Genomic DNA, 25,231 nt, shown 5'->3' on the forward strand with positions numbered 1-25,231 from the left:
ACCAAGGCTGGAGAACTATGTGAAGAATGCAGAAGCCTCAGGAGCCGATGCAATCAACTGGAAGAAAGGGTATCAGCAATGGAAGATGAAATGAATGAAATGAAGCAAGAAGGGAAGTTTAGAGAAAAAAGAATAAAAAGAAATTAGCAAAGCCTCCAAGAAATATGGGACTATGTGAAAAGACCAAATCTACGTCTGATTGGTGTACCTGAAAGTGATGGGGAGAATGGAACCAAGTTGGGAAACACTCTGCAGGATATTATCCAGGAGAACTTCCCCAATCTATCAAGGCAGGCCAACATTCAGATTCAGGAAATACAGAGAATGCCACAAAGATACTCCTCGAGAAGAGCAACTCCAAGACACATAATTGTCAGATTCACCAAAGTTGAAATGAAGGAAAAAATGTTAAGGGAAGCCAGAGAGAAAGGTCGGGTTACCCTCAAAGGGAAGCCCATCGGACTAACAGCTGATCTCTCAGCAGAAATCCTACAAGCCAAAAGAGAGTGGGGGCCAATATTCAACATTCTTAAAGAAAAGAATTTTCAACCCAGAATTTCATATCCAGCCAAACTAAGTTTCATAAGTGAAGGAGAAATAAAATACTTTACAGACAAGCAAATGCTGAGAGATTTTTGTCACCACCAGGCCTGCCCTAAAAGAACTCCTGAAGGAAGCGCTAAACATGGAAAGGAACAACCGGTACCAGCCGCTGCAAAATTATGCCAAAATGTAAAGACCATCAAAGACTAGGAAGAAACTGCATCAACTAACGAGCAAAATCACCAGCTAACATCATAATGACAGGATCAAATTCACACATAACAATATTAACTTTAAATGTGAATGGACTAAATGCTCCAATTAAAAGACACAGAATGGCAAATTGGATAAAGAGTCAAGAACCATCAGTGTGCTGTATTCAGGAAACCCATCTCACATGCAGAGACACACATAGGCTCAAAATAAAAGGATGGAGGAAGATCTACCAAGCAAATGGAAAACAAAAAAAGGCAGGGGTTGCAATCCTAGTTCTGATAAAACAGACTTTAAACCAACAAAGATCAAAAGAGACAAAGAAGACCATTACATAATGCTAAAGGGATCAATTCAACAAGAAGAGCTAACTATCCTAAATATATATGCACCCAATACAGGAGCACCAAGATTCATAAAGCAAGTCCTGAGTGACCTACAAAGCGACTTAGACTCCCACACATTAATAATGGGAGACTTTAACACCCCACTGTCAACATTAGACAGATCAACAAGACAGAAAGTCAACAAGGATACCCAGGAATTGAACTCAGCTCTGCACCAAGCAGACCTAATACACATCTACAGAACTCTCCACCCCAAATCAACAGAATATACATTTTTTTCAGCACCACACCTATTCCAAAATTGACCACATACTTGGAAGTAAAGCTCTCCTCAGCAAATGTAAAAGAACAGAGATTATAACAGTGCAGACCACAGTGCAATCAAACTAGAACTCAGGATTAAGAATCTCACTCAAAACCGCTCAACTACATGGAAACTGAACAACCTGCTCCTGAATGACTATTGGGTACATAACGAAATGAAGGCAGAAATAAAGATGTTCTTTGAAACCAACGAGAACAAAGACACAACATACCAGAATCTCTGGGACGCATTCAAAGCAGTGTGTAGAGGGAAATTTATAGCACTAAATGCCCACAAGAGAGAGCAGGAAAGATCCAAAATTGACACCCTAACATCACCATTAAAAGAACTAGAAAAGCAAGAGCAAACACATTCAAAAGCTAGCAGAAGGCAAGAAATAAATCAGAGCAGAACTGAAGGAAACAGAGACACAAAAAAAACCCTTCAAAAAATTAATGAATACAGGAGCTGGTTTTTTGAAAGGATCAACAAAATTGATAGACCACTAGCATGACTAATAAAGAAAAAAAGAGAGAAGAATCAAATAGACACAATAAAAAATGATAAGGGGGATATCACCACTGATCCCACAGAAATACAAACTACCATCAGAGAATACTACAAACACCTCTACACAAATAAACTAGAAAATCTAGAAGAAATGGATAAATTCCTCAACACATACACTCTCCCAAGACTAAACCAGGAAGAAATTGAATCTCTGAATAGACCAATAACAGGATCTGAAATTGTGGCAATAATCAATAGCTTACCAACCAAAAAGAGTCCAGGACCAGATGGATTCACAGCCGAATTCTACCAGAGGTACAAGGAGGAACTAGTACCATTCCTTCTGAAACTATTCCAATCAATAGAAAAAGAGGGAATCCTCCCTAACTCATTTTATGAGGCCAGCATCATTCTGATACCAAAGCCAGGCAGAGACACAACAAAAAAAGAGAATTTTAGACCAATATCCTTGATGAACATTGATGCAAAAATCCTCAATAAAATACTGGCAACACGAATCCAGCAGCACATCAAAAAGCTTATCCACCATGATCAAGTGGGCTTCATCCCTGGGATGCAAGGCTGGTTCAATATACGCAAATCAATAAATGTAATCCAGCATATAAACAGAGCCAATGACAAAAACCACATGATTATCTCAATAGATGCAGAAAAAGCCTTTGACAAAATTCAACAACCTTCATGCTAAAAACTCTCAATAAATTAGGTATTGATGGGACGTATTTCCAAATAATAAGAGCTATCTATGAGAAACCCACAGCCAATATCATACTGAATGGGCAAAAACTGGAAGCATTCCCTTTGAAAACTGGTACAAGACAGGGATGCCCTCTCTCACCACTCGTATTCAACATAGTGTTGGAAGTTCTGGCCAGGGCAATTAGGCAGGAGAAGGAAATAAAGGGTATTCAATTAGGAAAAGAGGAAGTCAAATTGTCCCTGTTTGCAGACGACATGATTGTATATCTAGAAAACCCCATTGTCTCAGCCCAAAATCTCCTTAAGCTGATAAGCAACTTCAGCAAAGTCTCAGGATACAAAATCAATGTACAAAAATCACAAGCATTCTTATACACCAACAACAGACAAACAGAGAGCCAAATCATGAGTGAACTCCCATTCACAATTGCTTCAAAGAGAATAAAATACCCAGGAATCCAACTTACAAGGGATGTGAAGGACCTCTTCAAGGAGAACTACAAATCACTGCTCAAGGAAATAAAAGAGGATACAAACAAATGGAAGAACATTCCATGCTCATGGGTAGGAAGAATCAATATCGTCAAAATGGCCATACTGCCCAAGGTAATTTACAGATTCAATGCCATCCTCATCAAGCTACCAATGCCTTTCTTCACAGAATTGGAAAAATCTACTTTAAAGTTCATATGGAACCAAAAAAGAGCCCGCATCACCGAGTCAATCCTAAGCCAAAAGAACAAAGCTGGAGGCATCACACTACCTGACTTCAAACTATACTACAAGGCTACAGTAACCAAAACAGGATGGTACTGGTACCAAAACAGAGATATAGATCAATGGAACAGAACAGAGCCCTCAGAAATAATGCCGCATATCTACAACTATGTGATCTTTGACAAACCTGAGAAAAACAAGCAATGGGGAAAGGATTCCCTATTTAATAAATGGTGATGGGAAAACTGGCTAGCCATATGTAGAAAGCTGAAACTGGATCCCTTCCTTACACCTTATACAAAAATCAATTCAAGATGGATTAAAGACTTAAACGTTAGACCTAAAACCATAAAAACCCTAGAAGAAAACCTAGGCATTACCATTCAGGACATAGGCATGGGCAAGGACTTCATGTCGAAAACACCAAAAGCAATGGCAACAAAAGACAAAATTGACAAATGGGATCTAATTAAACTAAAGAGCTTCTGCACAGCAAAAGAAACTACCATCAGAGTGAACAGGCAACCTACAAAATGGGAGAAAATTTTTGCAACCTACTCATCTGACAAAGGGCTAATATCCAGAATCTACAATGAATGCAAACAAATTTACAAGAAAATAAACAACCCCATCAAAAAGTGGGCAAAGCACATGAACAGACACTTCTCAAAAGAACACATTTATGCAGCCAAAAAACACATGAAAAAATGCTTATCATCACTGGCCATCAGAGAAATGCAAATCAAAACCACAATGAGATACCATCTCACACCAGTTAGAATGGCAATCATTAAAAAGTCAGGAAACAACAGGTGCTGGAGAGGATGTGGAGAAATAGGAACACTTTGACACTGTTGGTGGGACTGTAAACTAGTTCAACCATTGTGGAAGTCAGTGTGGCGATTCCTCAGGGATCTAGAACTGGAAATACCATTTGACCCAGCCATCCCATTACTGGGTATATACCCAAAGGACTATAAATCATGCTGCTATAAAGACACATGCACACATATGTTTATTGCGGCATTATTCACAATAGCAAAGACTTGGAACCAACCCAAATGTCCAACAATGATAGACTGGATTAAGAAAATGTGGCACATATACACCATGGAATACTATGCAGCCATAAAAAATGATGAGTTCATGTCCTTTGTAGGGACATGGATGAAATTGGAAATCATCATTCTCAGTAAACTATCGCAAGAACAAAAAACCAAACACCGCATATTCTCACTCATAGGTGGGAATTGAACAATGAGAACCCATGGACACAGGAAGGGGAACATCACACTCTGGGGACTGTTGTGGGGTGGGGGGAGGCGGGAGGAATAGCATTGGGAGATATACCTAATGCTAGATGACGAGTTAGTGGGTGCAGCGCACCAGCATGGCACATGTATACATATGTAACTAACCTGCACAATGTGCACATGTACCCTAAAACTTAAAATATAATAATAATAATAATAATAATAATAATAATAAAGGATATAGGGTCTTCAATGTCAATGCCCAATGTCAAGCCCAAGCAGGTTTAAAAACTTGAGTAGTAACCATTAGTACCTTAACCCTCTCGTCTCATTTTTCACAGACAGGTGGCCCAATGAAAGCCACGTTACTTGTGACTCAGAGTAGCCCTTTCTTACAATGGGAGGAGGAGAAAGGAGCAGAGAGGGGAGCAGGGCACCTCATCAGCACGTCCCCAGTGGTCAAATAGGCTGTTTCCCTTATTTTTGAGGAGAAATAAGAAGGTTGGGAGAAGAACACAATGTTTCTCTCCCCAGAAGTGGCATTTAGAGATGTTTATCACCCTTAAAGTACAATTCACATGGTAGACTAAAATGCCTTAAGATTGTTGCAAAATTTATAGTTTGAAATTCGATCACTTATGAGGGATGCCTGAGGCTATTGTGTCTGAGTAAATGCGGCTACTCTCTTTTTGTTCAATATTTGTTGAAGATGAAAGGGTAGAGTATTACACAAAGTTTCCCATACATATCTTTTATTTCTCCCATGCCCTCAAAAGTTCCTTGCCTATCAGAAGTGTAAATGATTATGTGACACTTCTATATCTGCCCCCAGATAACCCGAGCACAGGCTAGTTACTTAATAATAAGTATATATAAGAATAATATTCTGGTTCACAGGGAAACTAGACTGAGAGAGTCCATTTCATTTTGTCTGGCATCACAGAATGGATCAGAGACAAAGCAGAGATAAGAACCCAGGCTTCTTCAAAGCCACCCTTTTTAACTTTGTTCTTAAGGGTAAAGGAATGGAAAATGAAGTAGGAAATAGGAAAAAGTGGGGAAGATGTGAGTTAATAGTGAAATCAAAACCATGCTGTGCATTGGCCTCTGATCGGACCCTGGTGAGCATTTTTAGAGCATTCCGGCTGCAGCCTAATGTTTCTCACCCCAAAAAATTATTTTACATGGGAAAACCTTCTGCAGAGAGATGCTAGCAGGAGTCTGCACCTGGCAGTCCTATGTTATGTACCTAATGAGTAAATGAAATGTTTAATAACTGTACTGTGAAAATGAAGCTTAAAACAGTAAATTCCTGCTGAGGCTGCTCTTCTGCACCTGAGGCACACTGCTAGCCCATCTCAGAACTCCAGCCCATTTTTATTTTTTCCTCTTAGTGGGTCCTGCTGAGGAGATAACACTAAAACCAAAGCGATGCTCACTTAATTAGTTGTATATCAGTGTAAGAACATTTACTTAGCACATCAACAGCCAGCGTTCCACCAAAGGGTCGCCTGAAACTTCTCCAACATGCACCCTGGATAGGGGAAATTCTGCAGTGGCTTCAGATTGAGCATTCGTAAATTTAAATTTGTCAATTAGCCATGGATCATTTAACCTCAGAAACGTAATACCACTTATTTTTAGAGTATCTGTTTGAAATACAAAAGCAGTAAAACCTTAATTGTTGGTATAGCTTTTCACTAATAATTTTAAGAAAAAAATGACAGAACATTTATTTTTTACAAAGCACTAGTTTAAAAATAAATTATTGCAATTTGAGTTAAGCTTTAACTGGCTGGAGATTCCTTTAGATTCAATGGATCAACTAATTCTTCCTAAGTCTTAAGGAGAGGCAAGAAATCCAAATGTAAAGTTAAGTACAGGTAGAATAGCTATATTATCCTTGTGTAATTTTCATAGCTAATAACTTAAAAATTAAATTTCTTACATTTATAGACATACAGACCCCAAAATCCAAAGAAATTAGACTATCGAGCCAAGGTCACAAAACTAGGTCCTAGGCTAAAATGCTTCCTCAGTATCTGGAATATTTATTTGAGCACTCATTAAATACTTGGAATTTGTTGTATAGATCACACACAGTTTACCATCATTGAAAATAATAATATAGATCAGCTTAGACTTCAGAGTGGGAAACGTTTCATCTTTCAAGGCCTATTTGCAAAATGAAAGGTGATTTTTCCAACTTCTCAGAGCCCCAGTACTGATCCTCTTCTCACTAGCTCCCACCCAGCCTTGAGCACCTCCCTCTCCCAAAATGAAGTGTTTTTTTTTTTTTTCTTAACCACATTTTGAAAATCACTTTTCATATTTGGGAGAGATCCCAGAGGATGCTGACTCCAAAATTGAGATTATATTCACAGCTAGGAGCCATGGAAGAGATTCTTTTCATTTTTATTTTTCCTTTGACATATGTTTCTGATAGAGCTCATAGAAGTTCTATGAAAAGCGTTCATGTTTAGGCCAATTGTCAGTGTTAAGTGTTGTTCTCCAAAGTGAATAAATAAATATGAAGCTTTCCCTGTAGCTACAATCTAGATCTACCAACATAGAAAAAGTCATCAAAAATTCTATCATTTCTTAACATTAAAGAACAGCATTTTGATATCCCAAAGTAATAAGTTTTCAGTTTGTTTTTGTGTTTTTTCCTAATTGCCATAATTTCTATTAGTTCTTGGGTAGGATGGTGGCTCTCTTCTAGTGAGTCAAAACACTGCCAGGCACACCAAAGGCTCTCATGCCTCAAGGCAGTCCATTATCAAGAAGGAGTCACCAAGAATGGGTGAGGCCAGGGATGCATAAACAAAGTGGGCTTTAAACCTGGCTTCTGAAAGCAGTGTAGAAAAAAACCAGTTAGTCTCCCAGGAAGTGTGGCAATGCCCCATTTCAATGTCAAAGTCTTTGAAATCTAGGAAAGCTTCATGTGGAGGAACAGATCGGGGTTAGGACAAATAGTCACCCGACAGTAGCAGTGAGTCCATCAGCAGATGAGAGGCCGCAATATGGTGTCCAGTATCCTGTTTGGATTGGACCATGCTCCAGGCCTCACTCACTAATCCACATGCCTGACGACTACATTGCCTTCTCATTTGAACATAGTCCATACCAGCAGACTGATTATTTTACATAAAAATGTTCATTTGGTTTAAATGGTGTAGAAGATGGATTGAGAATTTAGACACACGGGAAGGTGACTGATCAGGTCTCAGGCACAAGGCAAAAGATTAAAGGCATGTCTCATAGCCCCATGAAAGAACAGAGATGCAGACCAGAAAATCAAGAAAGAAGCCATTTATGCTTGGTGAGCTACAAGCACTTAAGGAAAAAGCACTGCTTGGTGAGCTTGTAGGGACCCAGATTTCACCAGTGCACAAGCTTGAAATATTGAACACTGAATCTACACACAAAAAAATACAAACATCATGTAGGGATGGAGTTATGCACAACCAGGAACATGGTGTCTGCCTTCCGACAAAGGATGTTTTCATGGAAATCTTGGTTTTCAAACATTTATTCTCCTTAACTAAAGGGCAATTTTGAGACCACGGTTGCCTAATTAGTTGTTAATAAATCTCTCCTGGGAAATTTCCCTCATACTCTTTCCTTTAATTGCCCTTTCAAGGAAAGGAAAGAAAAATATTAAGTCCATAGAGTGTCCCAGTCAAATCCTGCTGACAATGAACTCTGGGAGGCTGTTTAAATTCTTTGTCTCTACTAGAATTTTATTGAAATTAATTCTACCTTCCTCTCCAGGGACCTCAGTATTCTCTTCAACAAAATAAAAGGAAGGTCATTCGATGAGCTCCAAGAGCCCTCGTGGTTCCGGCATTCTAAATTTCTGTGATTCTATGAATATTACTTGAGAAAAGGCAGTCATCTGAGGTTTAAACACTCTGTGCGGTCTTTGAGCCGAGACAATGTCTTCGATTCCTTTTGTGAGGCTCACCATGTCTTGTACATTTGTTCAACACTCACTACATTTTGAATGCATAACTGTTGCCTGGGCACTAGAGAAAATCAATTATTATAATGAACTTTCTAATGAGTTTGAGGGATGGTAGTCTTTAGGCATGTCCATGCCCTATTGTAATAATAGGAGTGTGGTTGATGCAGTATGATACACATAGTGCAATACACCTAAGTGTTTGGAATTCTGGGAAGAAAATACACCATAAGAATGTATTTCCATCGTGATAACCGTAGGCTATGCCTAGGAATTCATTTCTCTGCATGTAAAACTGACAAAAAAATTGTGATGAAGTACATGTTATGGAATTATATACAGCAGTCTGGTATATTCTAAAAGAATCTTTACTTTTACGTTTCTCAGAACAGGCACTGGCCCTACTTGAATTTCCTACATAGTAAGCTATGCCTATGCCTTTCACTTTTTATTGTAGATACCTATGTTAGAGTGAATTGATTTTCAGAATGTGTTAAACATGCATTGCATGTGTTTGGTTACATATTAAATTGTAAATTTTCAGAAGTAGCTGAGTTTCTTAAACATGTTTTTAAAATGAAAAATTTAAAATAAAATAAATAGGTTTTATGATCAAGGGAGTCTAGGTCAAAAATAAGTAAAAGATGTGTGAAAAAATATATAGAGACAAATGTTCATTTTTAAAATGCAGCTGCTGTGTTAAACATAGGAATGGATAAGAGCTAGCTTCTGGAAGGTGCTAAGAGGAACAGCTTTTGTGACTATTATAAATTCAGGTTTAATCAGAACATTGCAAGCATTCTTGAAGGGCATACAAACAAAATTCAGGCAACACAATTCAAAATATGTGGTTGGTAGATACCTTCTCAAGGTTTATGCCTCTTTTTAAAGCTTTTAAACTTTGTGAATTCCTTTTTAAACTTTATGCCTTCACTTAAATAATAACCTAAAATATCAACATGAATTTCACATGCTGGGTTATCTGTACCTGCCAAGGTTTTTAGTGGCTGCCTTCCTATTTGGGTTTACAATTAAGATGGCACCAGGAACACCGTGGTTATAGTCAGAAGTTTGGAAAAAAAAAAAAATGGTGTGTGAGTAGAGGTAAACCATTCACATCCAGTGAAGACCACCTGACATTACAGTCCCTGTATGAATGAGGTCTTGGCTATTGTTGAGTTAGAAAATCTTCACAGAATTAGAAAAAACTACTTTGAATTTCATGTGGAACCAAAAAAGGGCCCCTATAGCCAAGACAGTCCTAAGCAAAAAGAACAAAGCTGAAAGCATCATGCTACCTGACTGCAAACTATACTACAAGGCTACAGGAACCAAATCAGCATGGTACTGGTACCAAAACAGAGATATAAACCAATGGAACAGAACAGAGGTCTCAGAAACATCACCACACGCCTACAACCATCTGATCTTTGACAAACCTGGCAAAAAGCACCGGGGAAAGGATTCCCTATTTAATAAATGGTGTTGGGAAAACTGGCTAGCCATATGCAGAAAACTGAAACCTGACCCCTCCTTACACCTTATACAAAAATTAACTCAAGATGGATTAAAGACTTAAATGTAAGACCTAAAACCATACAAACCCTGGAAGAAAACCTAGGCAATACCATTCAGGACATAGGCATGGGCAAAGACTTCATGATTAAACCACCAAAAGCAATGGCAATGAAAGCCAAAATTGACAAATGGGATCAAATTAAACTAAAGAGCTTCTTCATAGCAAAAGAAACTATCATCAGAGTGAACAGGCAACCTACAGAATGGGAGAAATTTTTTGCAGTCTATCCATCTGACAAAGGGCTAATATCCAGAATCTACAAAGAACTTAAACAAATTTACATGAAGAAAATACACAACCCCTTCAAAAAGTGGGCAAAAGATATGAACAGGCACTTCTCAAGAGAAGACATTTATGCAGCCAACAAACATGAAAAAAGGCTCATCATCACTGGTCATTAGAGAAATGCAAATCAAAATCACCACGAGATACCATCTCACACCAGTTAGAATGGCAATCATTAAAAAGTCAGGAAACAACAGATGCTAGAGAGGATGTGGAGAAATAGGAACACTTTTACACTGTTGGTGGGAGTGTAAATTAGTTCAGCCATTGTGGAAGACAATATGGTGATTCTTCAAGGATCTAGAATTAGAAATGCCATTTGACCCAGCAATCCTATTACTGGATTCAAAGGATTATAAATCATTCTACTATAAAGACACAAGCACACGTATGTTTACTGTAGCACTATTCACAATAGCAAAGACTTGGAACCAACCCAAATGCCCATCAGTGACAGACTGGATAAAGAAAATGTGGCACATATATACCATGGAATACAATGCAGCCATAAAAAAGGATGAGTTCATGTCCTTTGCAGGGACATGGATGAGACTGGAAACCATCATTCTCAGCAAACTAACACAAGAACAGAAAACCAAACACCGCATGTTCTCACACATAAGTGGGAGTTGAACAATGAGAACACATGGACACAGGGAGGAGAACATCACACACTGGGCCTGTCGGAGGGCAGGGGGCTGGGGGAGGGATAGCATTAGGACAACTAATGTAGATGACAGGTTGATGGGTGCAGCAAACCACCATGGCACATGTATACCTATGTAACAAACCTGTACATTCTGCACATGTACTCCAGAACTTAAAGTATAAGAAAAAAAGAAGGGGGAGGCAGGAGAAAAGTATTAAATTTATATTAATAAAAAAAGAAATAGTAAAATTATGATTATCAGAGGCTGTGAGGTGAGAGGATTGAGGAGATGTTGGTCAAATGGTACAAAATTTCAGTTAGGAGGAATAAGTTCAAGAGATCCATTGTATATTGTGGCGATTAGAGTTAATAACTATATATTGTATACTTAAAAATTGCTGAGAATTGATTGAAAGTGTTCTCAACACAAAACATAAGTATGTGAAGTAATACATATGTTAAATAGCTTGATTTAGCCATTCTATAATGTATATACATGTATCAAAACATTGTTTTACACCATAAATATATACTGTTTTTCCTTGTTGATTAAAAATAAATAAGTTGTTGAATACATGAAAAAAAAAAGAAGGAAAATGTTCATAATGAAAACTGGGCGTGAATGACAAACCCAAAATGATTGTAATATAGCAACAGTATCAAATTCATATGGCAATTTTGTTTTAGCCCAACAATCTCATTTATCATATTAAATTAATGATTATAATCCAAATTGTACTATTTTCACAGGGCTTTCTGTTTAACTTTAAATGTGTTTTTGTTTTATAGCATAGGATAAGCACTATAAGGTATGATGCTTATAGCAAGTTTTATGTTTGTATATATTTTAAAAATATTGGAATACAGTATTTTAAGTCAATGCTGGAGTTGATTAAAGTCTTACTTTTCCCTTTAAATTCCAAGTCAGTTATGAGAAACAATGATAAAAAATGAGCTTTTATCCCCAGATTTATAGTCCTTGAACTAGATTTCATGTTCATTTATGTTGCTTCCTCAAAAAACCCATGTAAATTGGATGGGCTAGGTCAACAAGCTAGTGATCATCCTTCATTTGCTCCATGGAGTTAGACAGATGTTGGTGCAAAATTCTTACACCGCCTGCCCATTCCTAAATGTGCGAACTTAGGCAAGTTACTTATTTTGTCTTTATTTTGGCACCCCCATGTGTGAACTGAGAATAAGAATACTTAGCAGGATTGTTTTGAAAAATAGTAATATATAATATTATAATAAGATGATTAATATTAAAAATAGCCCTCATTTGGATAACTATTTTTGGCACCAACTCCCAGGCAACTTTTCACAGCGTGAATAGTTAGCCCTCTTTGAACAAGTTACTAAGTACCAGCCACTTTAAATACATAATCTCATTTAATCCTAACAAATTACTAGTATCATTCCTATTTTGCAGATGAAAAACAGGCCAAGACAGGTTCAGTTGACAAGAAATTGCACAGATCTAAATGCAGACTGGACTTACTGTGAATCCCAAATTTTCCCTCACCATGTTATTTTGTCCAAAATGAAACTAAAATGCTTGGCATAGATCTAGACTTTTGTAGGCACTCAGTAAATATTATTTCCACTCTGAAGAAAACGATTCATGTTTCATTTCGCTTCTCATCAGAGGTACCACGAACAGAATATCACCCTTTTATGATAAATCACTCAAATTGCAGACTTTTGATCCCTAAAGTTCAAGAGTGAAAAGGTATAAATATGAAGAAATTTCATGTTAGGTCACGGGATGGGAAAAGATGCTTATGTCAGGATTTACCATTTCTAGTGACCAGCACCTAGCAGATTGCTGGTTTATTAGATTTATTTATTATTTTCATTGTTTCCTTCAGATGACTCCTATTTATCTGATTGTAGAGTAACCTCTGAGCTTTATTAGCTAGAATTTTATTTTCCACAGTGTAGTCCAAACAACTTTTTCTTGGCAAAATATAGGACCCCATTAGAACCATTAGGACTAAAATGTCAGCTCTCGTGATAGAAGAGAACTGAGGCCACTGTCTTTTCATGGCTTTCTCTAATACCTTTTCTGCTGAAGTCTTGGTTACAATGCTAAGAATGACATAACCCCTTAGTTATGTGAGGTGTACTAGCTGATTCAATAAGCCTTTATGAAAGTTTTATTTTCAGCTATAAGGTCAAGGTTGTATTAGCGCTACAAGCTAAGCAGAATTTATAAGGCAAATTTCAGTTTCCTCCAAAAAGGCAGCCCTTATGTATAGGAAACAGAAATATCATCTATTTGATACTCAGCAGTGCCTCTTATGATTTTCATGAGCAGCAGAATGTCTTTTATTGACAAAAGCCATACAAAAAAAACCAGAATTACATCTTTTTTGTTCCAAAATAGAATTAAAAATGATAGTCTATCAAATTAGCCATGATGGATTTTATTTTATTCTAACGTCTTATGCTCATTTGTAGACCAGAGCAACCATCTCTTCTAACTCTGCAAATCTTCCTTGGTTCTGCTATGCAACTTAGGGCTCATTTAGGTGGTTTAGCACAGGGCTTTCTGGCCCTAAGCCGAGACTGGCACCAAATAAGCTTGCCTGACACTTTATAGGGTGTGATGAACAGTCCAGAGCTCCCAGGCAACTTTCCACAGCATGATTTGGAATCTACTTGCAATTACATATGGCTAGTGGAGCTGCATCTGGAGAAGCCTAATCAGAATTTGTCTTCCATTTAGTAGAAATAAAACGAGCCCACTCATTGTGTCAGAATTCATCTTTACACTACAGAATGAGCAATAACCTAAAATCAATGCCAATCTCCTGGATATGGTGTATATACTTGAGAAAGTGTTCTGCAGAATGTTTTCTACATTACTTTCATCACTGTGTTTTCTATTTCAGGGCCCACTCTTCCTAAGACCCATGTGAAAACAGCCTCCCTTGGGTTGGCTGGAAAAGCAAGATCCCCTTTGCTTCCTGTGTCTGTGCCAACAGCCCCTGAAGTGTCTGAGGAGAGCCACAAACCAACAGAGGATTCAGCCAATGTAAGGGCATCTTTAAAATTCATGCTTCATCAAGGGACAGATTGACTGGCGCTGTGTAATAGCATCTAAACCAATGAGTACTGTCCATTCACCCCAGGCCACCCCAGGCCATTGTTGTTCTTATTGTTGTTTGTTCCTTTGTTTTCCTGCACTTAAATATGAAGAGGAAATAAAAGCTATGAAAAAAAATTATGTCAGAGACTTAGTTATGTAAAAAAGTTGATTCTTAAGGACAGTCTTAGAAATATGACCAGATAGCTACAGAACGTGTGGTTTTACACCCATATATGTACATAATATATACATATACACATGATATACACATGGATACGTGTGTGTGTGTGTGTGTGTGTGTGTGTGTGTGTGTGTGTGTGTGTTTCTTTTCAATAGGAAGAAATACCTTGGCATTCTTGGAAATAAATAAGACTATATAACTCTTCTTCTTCCTTTTTTTTTTTTATTTTAAGAGACAGGGTCTTGCTGTGTTGCCCAGGCTAGAGGGTAGTGGCTATTCACAGGCACAATCATAGTGCACTACAGCCCTGAACTTCTTAGCTCAAGCAGTTCTCCTGCCTCAATTTCCCAAGTAGCTAAGACTATAGGTGCACATTACTACACCAACTTATACAGTTATTCTCTAAAATTAAAAAAATATAGTGACAAAAAGCTATATTATGAGGGCTTTTTGAAGTTATTATATATGTTACTTCTGAAATCATAAAATACCAGAAATATAGATTTGTGAAGGAAAAAATATAAAATAAAAAAATTGAAGGAGTTTAAGTAATACAAAAAGGAAATGACGTAATTAAAAAATAAGAAGGGAAAGTTTATTTAAAGACAGAAAAAGTTTTACTAAGGAAATAAGCTAAAAAGGGTTCCAGTTAGAAAACTCAGAAGGAACATCAATAGAGAAGGGGAAAAAATCAGAATTTTAAGAAAAAAAAAACATTTATCCCGAAAATGCACTGTAAAGGAGATTCAAAAAGACATTGCCTAAAGGCAGCTATTTATAGTACACTTTAGTTGTTTCTGAATATAATTCAAGAGAAAACATTTAAAAGAAGCCTAAGGAATTAACATATCAGATATCTTGAAAAATCAGGGCACTAGAAGAGAAAAAAGATGAAAAGAGCAGATTAAAATTCTATTTTGTTATTACATTTGGATCTTTTTTAAGCATAAATTATGAAATGAAAATAATCTGCCACCCTTCCAACTAGCTTGTTTTCTTCATGCATAAATGAAGTCTTCTGCAAAATTTGCAAATAATGTATTGAAAAATAAATTTATAACAATATCAAGGAATAAGTAGGTAACATTTAATCAGTCCTCTGTAAGCAATGCAACTACCAGGTCTTTTATAAAAATTATACTTTCTTTTGATATCTGGTTGTTGTTAAAAACAAAGAATCATTTCATTTGAATGAAGAACAATACATTTTTCTTGACTTAATTTTTTTTCAATACTACAAACAATAAAATATTTTAACGACATAGAGATCAGGGAAGCTGAGTATGTGAGTGTGTCTGTAAATGTTTTGGCAGATGAGTGTTATCTACTTAACATGCTTTTCAAAGATTCAAATTTATAAGACTCTAATGCACTTTTGTGCGTTAGAATATAGCTGTTTATGTCAATATCTGTTTAGGATCAAGGTTTGTGGCCACATCTCAAATAAAATCAAACTTCTAAGTTTACATGAAGTATCTCATCTCATAAAGAATCATGTCAGGTAGGCCTATTTTTACATTAAAGGTTGACTCTAAAGAATGGCAGCCAAATTAAAATATTAAACTTTATTAATATTAAAAGCAGTAAGAAACACATATTAAAGGAAATAAAGAGGACAAATAGTGTAGACCAACATTTGCCTATGAAAACATAATGTGTAATTTTAAATTGACTAGAAGCTACATTAAAAGATGTAAAAATAAATAGGTGAAGTTAATACCTTTTATCTAACCCAATATTTCCAAAATATTATCATCTCAACATGCAATAAATATTTAAAATTGTCAATAATGTATTTTACTTTTTTTGTACTGTTCCAAAACTGGTACGTATTTTTTCATGTAAAACACATTTCAGGTGAGACTAGGCACATTTTAAGAATATAATAGTTACATGTGGCTAGTGGTTGCCGTATTATACAATGAAATCTAGACAGTTTGAGAACGACAACCAGACAATGAAAACAACATTTTGGAAATGAGTTGCCTAGTAATCCCCTCACTTCAACTTCTCTCTCTCTCTCTCTCTCTCTCTCTCTCTCTCTCACACACACACACACACACACACACACACACACACACACACACACATTGTATGTATATAAACAGGCTTTTAGCCAAATTGGAAACTTTTCAGTCCTCTATTAAGCCCTGAAGATTGGGTAGTGTATGCCCGAATCATTCACTGACATGCTGAGATTTCTATAGGAAGCTCATACATTAATACCATACATTTTGAGCTGTTTTTTCAATGGCTGGAGTAGCTTTGTGCCTACCTCCCACCCATGCAAATTCTATCAATGCTCTCTTGAGATCAAGGGTACTTATTTGGCAAGATTAGATATACATCTCTGATCATAGTGCTAAGGAATGTGTCTTGGCCTATGCAGAGCTAGAAATCATGGCTCAGGCCTCATTGGTTCAATCATTTAATCAATGGAATGCGCTAGCCAAGAATAATAAGTAGAACATCTGTATAAGTCAACTAATATGTTCAAGAAAGGAAAAAAAGAAAACTAACATCTACTGAACACTTACCACTAGGCAGCCCTGACTTGTTGAATCCTCCTAACTCCTCAAAAGACAAACTTGTTATTCTCATTTCACAAATAAGAAGACTAACTCAAATAAAATGTGCAAGTATATAAAAGGACTGGGATTCAAATCAGTTTCACATCTTATTTCCCCATCTGGCTAACTATCAAAACTACCTGGGAATTTTTCTTTTAATTAGGATGTCTAGGTTCTTCCCATACCTTCTGAAACAGAATTCCTAAGCCTAGCGACCTGGTATTTGTGGTAACTAGTAATTCTATTACTTACTGACATGATAATAGTGACTTATAGTGAGTGAGTTTACAGAGTGAATTAGTGACAGTTCACTAGGCATTCTGGAGTTCAACCTCTTCTTTTATCCACCATTCAAATTGTCCCAAAAAGGATTGACTGTGGTTTGGGGCATGAATTTTGTTTCCACACACAAACTAAAGTCATAATCTCCAGACGTTTCATTGGCCAAGGCAAAGCCCGCTGAGTTCTCACATACAAAAAAAAATGTATCTATGTCATGATACAGAGAAAAAATATTCTGTTCATATCTTGGTTAACCTAGTAAGAGGAACAGGAGCTAATGTATTGAATATCTACCATATGCCAGACCCTATCATGGGTACTAAACATGTTACAGGAGGCTCAGAATAGCCTATGAAATAGATGTCATTATCATTTTATAGATGAAGAAAATTACGTATCAGAGAGGTGCACTCACTTGTCTAAGACCACACAGCTAATAATTGGGAGAACTTGATTTGAAACCCAATCTTTTTGACTCTGAAACATCTTCCTTGTCACAGGTGGAGATGGAGTGGGTGAAACAATATGCAATCTCTTATTATCCCCTTTTATTACCAGCATCTTCATTCAGTGAGTATATTCCAAGGACAGCCCTGGCTGTGGTCTCCTAGGTCAGACTTGGGAATACGTAGCACCCCAACTAGCTGTGGCCCCGGCCTTCATAAAAGAAATGGATCAATATTTGTTACTAACTCTTGGCTCTCATTCTCTTTATAGGTGTATGAACAGGATGATCTGAGTGAACAAATGGCAAGTTTGGAAGGACTCATGAAGCAGCTTAATGCCATCACAGGCTCAGCCTTTTAACATGTATTTCTGAATGGATGAGGTGAATTTTCCGGGAACTTTGCAGCATACCAATTACCCATAAACAGCACACCTGTGTCCAAGAACTCTAACCAGTGTACAGGTCACCCATCAGGACCACTCAGTTAAGGAAGATCCTGAAGCAGTTCAGAAGGAATAAGCATTCCTTCTTTCACAGGCATCAGGAATTGTCAAATGATGATTATGAGTTCCCTAAACAAAAGCAAAGATGCATTTTCACTGCAATGTCAAAGTTTAAGCTGCTAGAATAGTCATGGGCCTTTGTCACTGCAGTGACCACACTGTCATAACTAATACCTATGTTTTCCTTTGTCAAGGCCTGTTGTTTAATGTGTAGGTCTAGTCTTACAAAATGCAAGTGCATTATTTAAGCCTGTACCATGCCATGGCAAACCAGTGCAAGCTCACTATTTTGTTTTCAACTTAAACATACAAAGCACCCATGGGAATCTCTCATGCCATAGCACCAAAGGATTGGATGTTTTCCTTACAGCACAAAAAGTAAATAGTAAACAAACAAAAGGCAGAGAATGCTTATGTTTGTAACTCAGTCATTCATCTTGCACAAGTGGTGGATATTAGTGAGTGGCTAAAAATTCACCTATTTTGGCAAGTATTTGTAAATCCACCCTTGGTTAATATGTATGTCTGGAGTCCAGGAATATAAAAATCTGCAACTAGTGGCATTCTGCCAGCAGCAGTACATTTCTGGAAAGAGGATATAATATGCAATCTTCTCAGACACATGGTAATTATATGCTTAAGCTTGTAATAGGACAGTTTTCAATTTGGGTGGCTTTTGTGCCATACCACACTGTGATACAATTTCAAAGCTTCACTAAGGCCATCTTCCTTAGGAGTTTGGCCAGAAGAATGCCCCCACCCCTTCACCCCATCCCTCCCTGAGTTCTCCTTGGCAACTAGCGTTGGGTGAAATGGCCAGCTCCACATGTCATATGGTGCACTGGCCAATGTCGCCTGTCTTCTAATCCCGTAGAAATGGCAGACTCCCTGAGAGCAGGAAGAGAAGGAAAATAAAAGGTAGCTTCTAACAGTACCTTCTCTTAAAGAATGCCAACTCTGCCTACAGGGTCAGTGTTGGCAAGCATTGGCCACCAGACCCTTTTGTTAAGGGAAACTTTTACACTACACCTGTGTCAGAGTCAGGGGGAAGCAGAGGGGCAGGTGCCACCTGACACTTCCGACATGTAAATCCAGCAGATACTTTTCAAAGCAGCATCTTAAACTGTGGACTACAGTTTTAAACTTCTATTGCCATGTTTATCTACAGCTTGGAACTAGCTAAAATTAAGAACATTTTGTATGCAGCATTTTAGTTTCTGAATTTTCAGCTGCATTTGGAGTTAATCCCTGTTTATGCAGCTGAATCGCCAAAAGGGAGCTAGTTTGCATATTTATCAGTTAGGTGACTTGAAAACCCAATGAGAGAGTTTCAGCTGAATTATTCCTTTCAGCTCTGCCTTTGATTTCAAGCTTGAGTAGGTCATAATTTTAAAAGAGCATGGAAGGGATAGGATCTTTACAACCTAATAGCTCCTTTTATTAGGTGGGTAATTATATATGAATCCCTGAATAAAATATTTTGAGCAAAATGGCACTGTAACAGAAGTAATAATTCAGTTTATTTTTTTACAGTTTTATGTCGGGAAGGAAATCTGATGTCAAAGAGAGGGCTGTTCAAATGGTTCATTAGAAAGTCCGGTCCATTTGCGAATTTGTTCCTTCAACAAGAGTGCTCATTCAAGTTACTCAGATTTTCTGGAAGTCTTTTCTGAAGAGCTATGTGATGTTGTTCTATGGGACAGACTACTCTTATTTAACATCTGGGCACTTAGGTAGACAACCTTCTACTGACCTGGAATAAAGTGTTTCCTAACATAATATTGAATTATTCAGAAATAATCCATTACTTCAAAAAAGAAAATATTCATTGGGCTAGCCCAACCTTCTCTAGGCCCTAAGAATTATTACCTCCCCTTTCTAATTCTAGCAAACATGGAACATTCTCCTTAGGCACTTGACACCCACGAGGGTAATCCTGAGTGCTCAGTTTGGAATAGGTTGCAAATCTCAGATTTTAGGGATTGAGTCACACCTTCAATCTATAGAATGAAGTTGACCAATTAAAAAAAAAAAAAAAACCTATCATTTTCACAAATTTCTAGATCCTTCTAGTCAAAAATAATTATTTAGGAAATAAAATTTTTAAAAATCCATTTAAATACATGTTATTTGTCTTCAGTGGAAGTTATATTTCTGCTGCATGCTTTTGAAACTTTCTTCATTAAATAGAATGGTTTGTCTTAGTAACTGGCAATGCCAGTATTAGCACCATGCATTTAATCTATAATACAATCAATTTAAACATCCTCAAAAAACTCTAGTATCATTTACCTGGTAGTATTAATATACAATGATGTCACCACAACTTTTGTATAACTCTGTTCCCTTTACCCTCAAATGATTCATATATGTATATAATTGCCTGCCCAAGTTTTCAGGTAACTTATTAATTTCCCAGTCTCCTGATCTCTTGACAAGAAGAAACCTGTGAATACTGCAAACTAGCCTCTGACTTCCTCCTACTGAGTCTAGTTCATGGTATCCAGGACTCTTTATGCTCATAACTCTCTCTGATTCCCATTGGGTGATACCTGACAGCCAACCAGCCGCTCTGCCACCAGAACTCATTTCTCCCTGAAAAAGAAGAAAATCATATTTGGCAGAGCATTCTCTGGTCTGCCCTGTAATGTGCTTAAATGTCAGGCAACATCCTCTTTTTTTTAAAAAAAATGGTATTTTTCTTTAAATTTCACCCTAATAAGAAAGCTATTTTCTCTCCTCTGCAGAAATTTCTGCATTTGTGAAACTTATAAAAATTTAGATAGTTCAAATGTATAAAGAATATTTGGATGATGCTCTAGCCAAAAGTTAAATATTTCGTAGTGAATCATAGCCAATAAGAAACCAGTCATACTTGCCTCTTTGAATAACAGAGATATAAGCTTCTAGAATATTTAAATAATGAAGTTTTACATTTGGGTATTATAAAATGCATACTCAATTGAATGAGCTGAAAAAAATACCAAGCCAGTGATATAAGTGGAGATTTATTAAGGATTCCTGTTGAGTATATTCTTAGTTTCCTCAAAATAGGGATTATTCAAAATTAGGTGTATGTTCAATCTCCTGCTTTGGTTCCAGCTACACAAGGAGAGCCATCCTGTGCTAGTGTGATGTTTCAGACAACATTCTGAAACTAAAATGTTTGGCACTTATTGGCTTTTCCAATAAAGAATCTCTTAAGTACAGGTATTTCTGGAAGCTGTTGGTGTCTGTGCTTGAAGATGATTGCTGATACTTATCCACCCTTTGGGTACTTCTGTTGACTTTGTTTAAATAATCATCTTATGGTTGTCCCCAAATGTAATATGGTATCTCAGATATAGCAGCTGGACTGTAATTACAACAAAAGGTTACCTCTAAAGATAACATCTTACCATTTTAGATAAAATTGTGTCCCAGAATTCTTATGGTTTCGGAATGTACATTTCTAGTCAATGAAAGAAAGAAAAATGGAAAAATTGTCTAGTTTCAGGCATGTTTAAAGAAAACAAAGTCATCTGAACTTTAAAATAGATGCAGAGCAGGGTTACTTTCCCTTTCACTCAGTTCCCTTCATGCAACCACAGGCAGTCCTGCAGGCCAGAGGTTACTATCCTAACCTGCTCATAACCATATACTATACAGAGCCCACAACTTTCTGGAGATGCAGAAGCAGCCATACACTCAAGTCTCTGTTTTTGTAAATCACATTCAAAGCAACATTTTACTCATAATTTGCATTTCTCTGGTGACTTTCAGAAATCACTTTAGTATTGTACAGAAAAGCTTTTTATTTGAGTCTAGTGTTTAAAATTAAATTGGATACTTGGGAAAATCATAGATAGGTGTTTTGTATGATATTCCATTCCAATGCAAAATATATGTACCCATGCCTCAATGTATCTTGCTATCTAAATACCTGTTGCCAAAAAGTATTGATTTGGGAAAAAAAATGCCAATTTCCTGGTCAGTGAGGTTATGTAAAAGACAAAATACCACACCCATATCAGCAAATGAATATTACTACTCATCTGGACTCTTCGTTGCCACTATTGCATAACGTTCACGTGGCAGACTTCCAGTTGCACTCTCTGAAGGACTTTTTTCTCTTACTCTCAATAGAGAGCCTTTGTACATTGTCATCCTATGATTGTTGTTGGTAGAAGAGCAAGAGCAAAACTCTGCAAGATTTAATAAACACAGGGGCATGGGCCAAGGGATCTCACTGTGTGCTGAACATGTATTTTCAGATGCAAGAAAGGAATGATGGAGAGGAGGAGAAATGCTGTTTTTTATTATTGTAGGGTAAATCTGACAATTCTGAACTTTGTGAATTGTCAGCTTGTTTGGGGGAAGGGTGGGCGGGTATGGGGTGTACTTTTTATAAGTAATATTTAATTTATTATTTAGAGTGGCTTCTTTTTGGATAATTTATGATAAAAAGGGAGATCTGGTTGGGATCTAGATACGGCTGTTAAAGCTGCAGTGTTCCATACCTCAGAGGGACCACTTTGGAAATGAATTGTCCATTGCTGAGTATGAAGAGATGTCCAGTCCAGGCAAAGCCTTCACTGAAGTTCCATCATCGCCACTTCTCCCTTTTTAGGGTCATTCAAAGAAGATAACACCAAACCTAAATAATTCTGAAAGCATTTTGCAGATCAGTGCTACTCATTCAAAGGGCTTTGCAACTCAAACAGATTGTTAGTGTGCTAGTGATAAGTTTATTTGGTAGAAATGGGTATACTACAGCTTTAACTAGCCTTAGTGAGAAAAGAAATTTTTTGTTGTTACAAAACACCTTTTTTAACAAAAAGGTATTTTGAGCCTACAAAAAGTTTCTTTAAACTGTCAGATTCTAGCATTGTTAACCAAATTAGACTAGTGATTGCAATATTTAAGTGTAAATCTTGTTCTACAAGAAAGGAAACTTGCTTACAGTTTAAAACAATGACTGTTTCTACACATGATCTTGTATACTACTACACAAGGAAAAGGGGGTTTTGTAAACACTGTAGAACAGTCTCATATTCATTTTTTTATAGAAATGTTATTCCAATGGTGCATTTTTTGTTTAATAAATAAAGTTTTGATACAAAGTTCTTTTTTCATGTTATTTATAGTAAATGCTGTGCCACACACACAACCACAACCTTGCTTGTCTGTATCCTTAAGATTCATTCTCTTAGTCCATTGGTGTTGCTGTAAAGGAATACCTGAGCTGAGTAACTTAATAAAGAGAAGAGGTTTAATTAGCTCATGGTTCTGCGAGCTGTACAATAAGTGTGGTGCCAGCATCTGTTCCTGGTGAGGCCTCAGGCGGCTTTCACTTATGGTGGAAAGGAAAGGGAAATCCACATGTGCAGAGATCGCATAACAAGAGAGGAAGCAAGAGAGAGAAGCAGGGCCGGGCGCGGTGGCTCATGCCTGTAATCCCAGCACTTTGGGAGGCCGAGGCGGGCGGATCACGAGGTCAGGAGATCGAGACCATCCCGGCTAAAAACGGTGAAACCCCGTATCTACTAAAAATACAAAAAATTAGCCGGGCGTAGTGGCGGGCGCCTGTAGTCCCAGCTACTTGGGAGGCTGAGGCAGGAGAATGGCGTGAACCCGGGAGGCGGAGCTTGCAGTGAGCCGAGATCCCGCCACTGCACTCCAGCCTGGGCGACAGAGCGAGACTCCGTCTCAAAAAAAAAAAAAAAAAAAAAAGAGAGAGAAGCAGGAGGTGCCAGACTCTTTTAAGCAACCAGTTCCCTTGGGAACTAATAGAATAAGAACTCACTCATTACCATGTGGACTGCACCATGCCATTCATGAGGAATCTACCTCCATGACCCAAACCTCTCCCATTAGGCCCCACCTTCAACACTGGGGATCAAATTTCACCATGAGATCTGGAGAGGTCAGATATCAAAACCATAGCATAAATATTACCTTTTATTAAAAGCTGTGGTAGGAGCTATCAGTTCTCTGCCTCATACTCAAGTAAGTTATTATTTTTAAAGGAAGTGGACCCTTATGCCATTTTCATGCACATTTCCAGTGTGCTTTCACTCCAGTCAATAACCATGTCTCTTTATTCCCAAGACTGCTAGAACTTGTCTTTGCCTACATGCGTGGGAGAGCTGGAAATGTCTGATTAGACCTTTCAAATAGCACCCCCTTTGCCCCGATGAAAACAATTTTGAGTTGTAACCCAATTTATCTCCAGAGTACCCCTGTAGAGCTGAGCCACAGTGACTGTGGGGCTACTGCTTCACAATAGTGCACTGTAATAGTGTACCCTTGCTTGGATTGCCTCCCTTCCCTTTTTATCTTGCCCCCTTCCCCTAATGGTTTCTCCTGGGAGCACTTCACAGTAAATCACTTTCATGCAAATCTTTATGGCAAGGTCTGTTTCTAGGGAATTCACTCAAGGCAAGATCCTTCTAGCTGTGATCCAATTTCAACACACAAACAACAAATGAATAAAATACTCTTTTCATCATCCAGATATTTCATTCTCATAGTGTCAGCAGCAGAATATGGGGTCACATAGGTGTTGAACATTATATAGCTACAATTATTGAAAGATTAAGTTTGGCATGTGTATTAGGGCCCTCTAGAGAGACAGAACCAATAGTGTGTGTGTATACACACACACATATATACTATTGGTGTATATATATTTTGGTTTGCACGATATATATATATATATATATATACACACACACACACACACACACACATATATATACATATATATATATATATATCTGAGACCTAATGTTAAATATTAACCTACACGATCACAAGGTCTCACAATAGGCTGTCTGCAAGCTTGAGGAGTAAGGAGAGCCAGTCCGAGCCTCAAAACTGAAGAACCTGGAGTCCAATGTTCGAGGACAGGAAGTGTCCAGCACTGGAGAAAGATATAGGCTGGGAGCCTAGGCCAGTCTCTCCTTTTCACGTTGGTTTTTCTTCCTGCTTTATATTCACTGGAAGCTGATTAGATTGTGCCCACCAGATTAAGGGTGGATCTGCCTTTCTCAGCCCACTGACTCAGATGTTAATCTCTTTTGGCAAC

General features: G+C 37.5%; 2 protein-coding genes across 11 annotated transcripts in view; one reads left to right on the forward strand and one right to left on the reverse strand.

Moving 5' to 3' along the window:
• The window catches only part of DCC (DCC netrin 1 receptor), a 1,195,703-nt gene extending 1,172,439 nt beyond the window's left edge, over positions 1-23,264 (forward strand). For all 5 annotated transcript variants that reach the window (NM_005215.4, XM_017025568.2, XM_017025569.2 and 2 more), the window contains 2 exons: positions 13,982-14,124; positions 17,929-23,264. In NM_005215.4, the coding sequence (NP_005206.2) occupies positions 13,982-14,124; positions 17,929-18,018 (233 nt within the window). In that variant the 3' untranslated portion in view covers positions 18,019-23,264. The remainder of the gene's footprint in view (positions 1-13,981; positions 14,125-17,928) is intronic.
• Positions 1-25,231, reverse strand: part of LOC124904304 (uncharacterized) — a 266,099-nt gene that overhangs the window by 31,801 nt on the left and 209,067 nt on the right. For 2 of the 6 annotated variants that reach the window (XR_007066373.1, XR_007066374.1), the window contains 2 exons: positions 22,662-22,808; positions 21,560-21,613 (listed from right to left, as the gene is read on the reverse strand). The exons of the other annotated variants lie outside the window; for them this stretch is intronic. The gene's annotated coding sequence lies outside the window, so the exon portion shown is untranslated. Of the gene's footprint in view, positions 1-21,559; positions 21,614-22,661; positions 22,809-25,231 lie in introns of those variants that run through there. 6 annotated transcript variants of the gene reach the window in all.

Source organism: Homo sapiens, chromosome 18 (assembly GCF_000001405.40).
Source record: "Homo sapiens chromosome 18, GRCh38.p14 Primary Assembly".
NCBI lineage: Eukaryota > Metazoa > Chordata > Mammalia > Primates > Hominidae > Homo > Homo sapiens.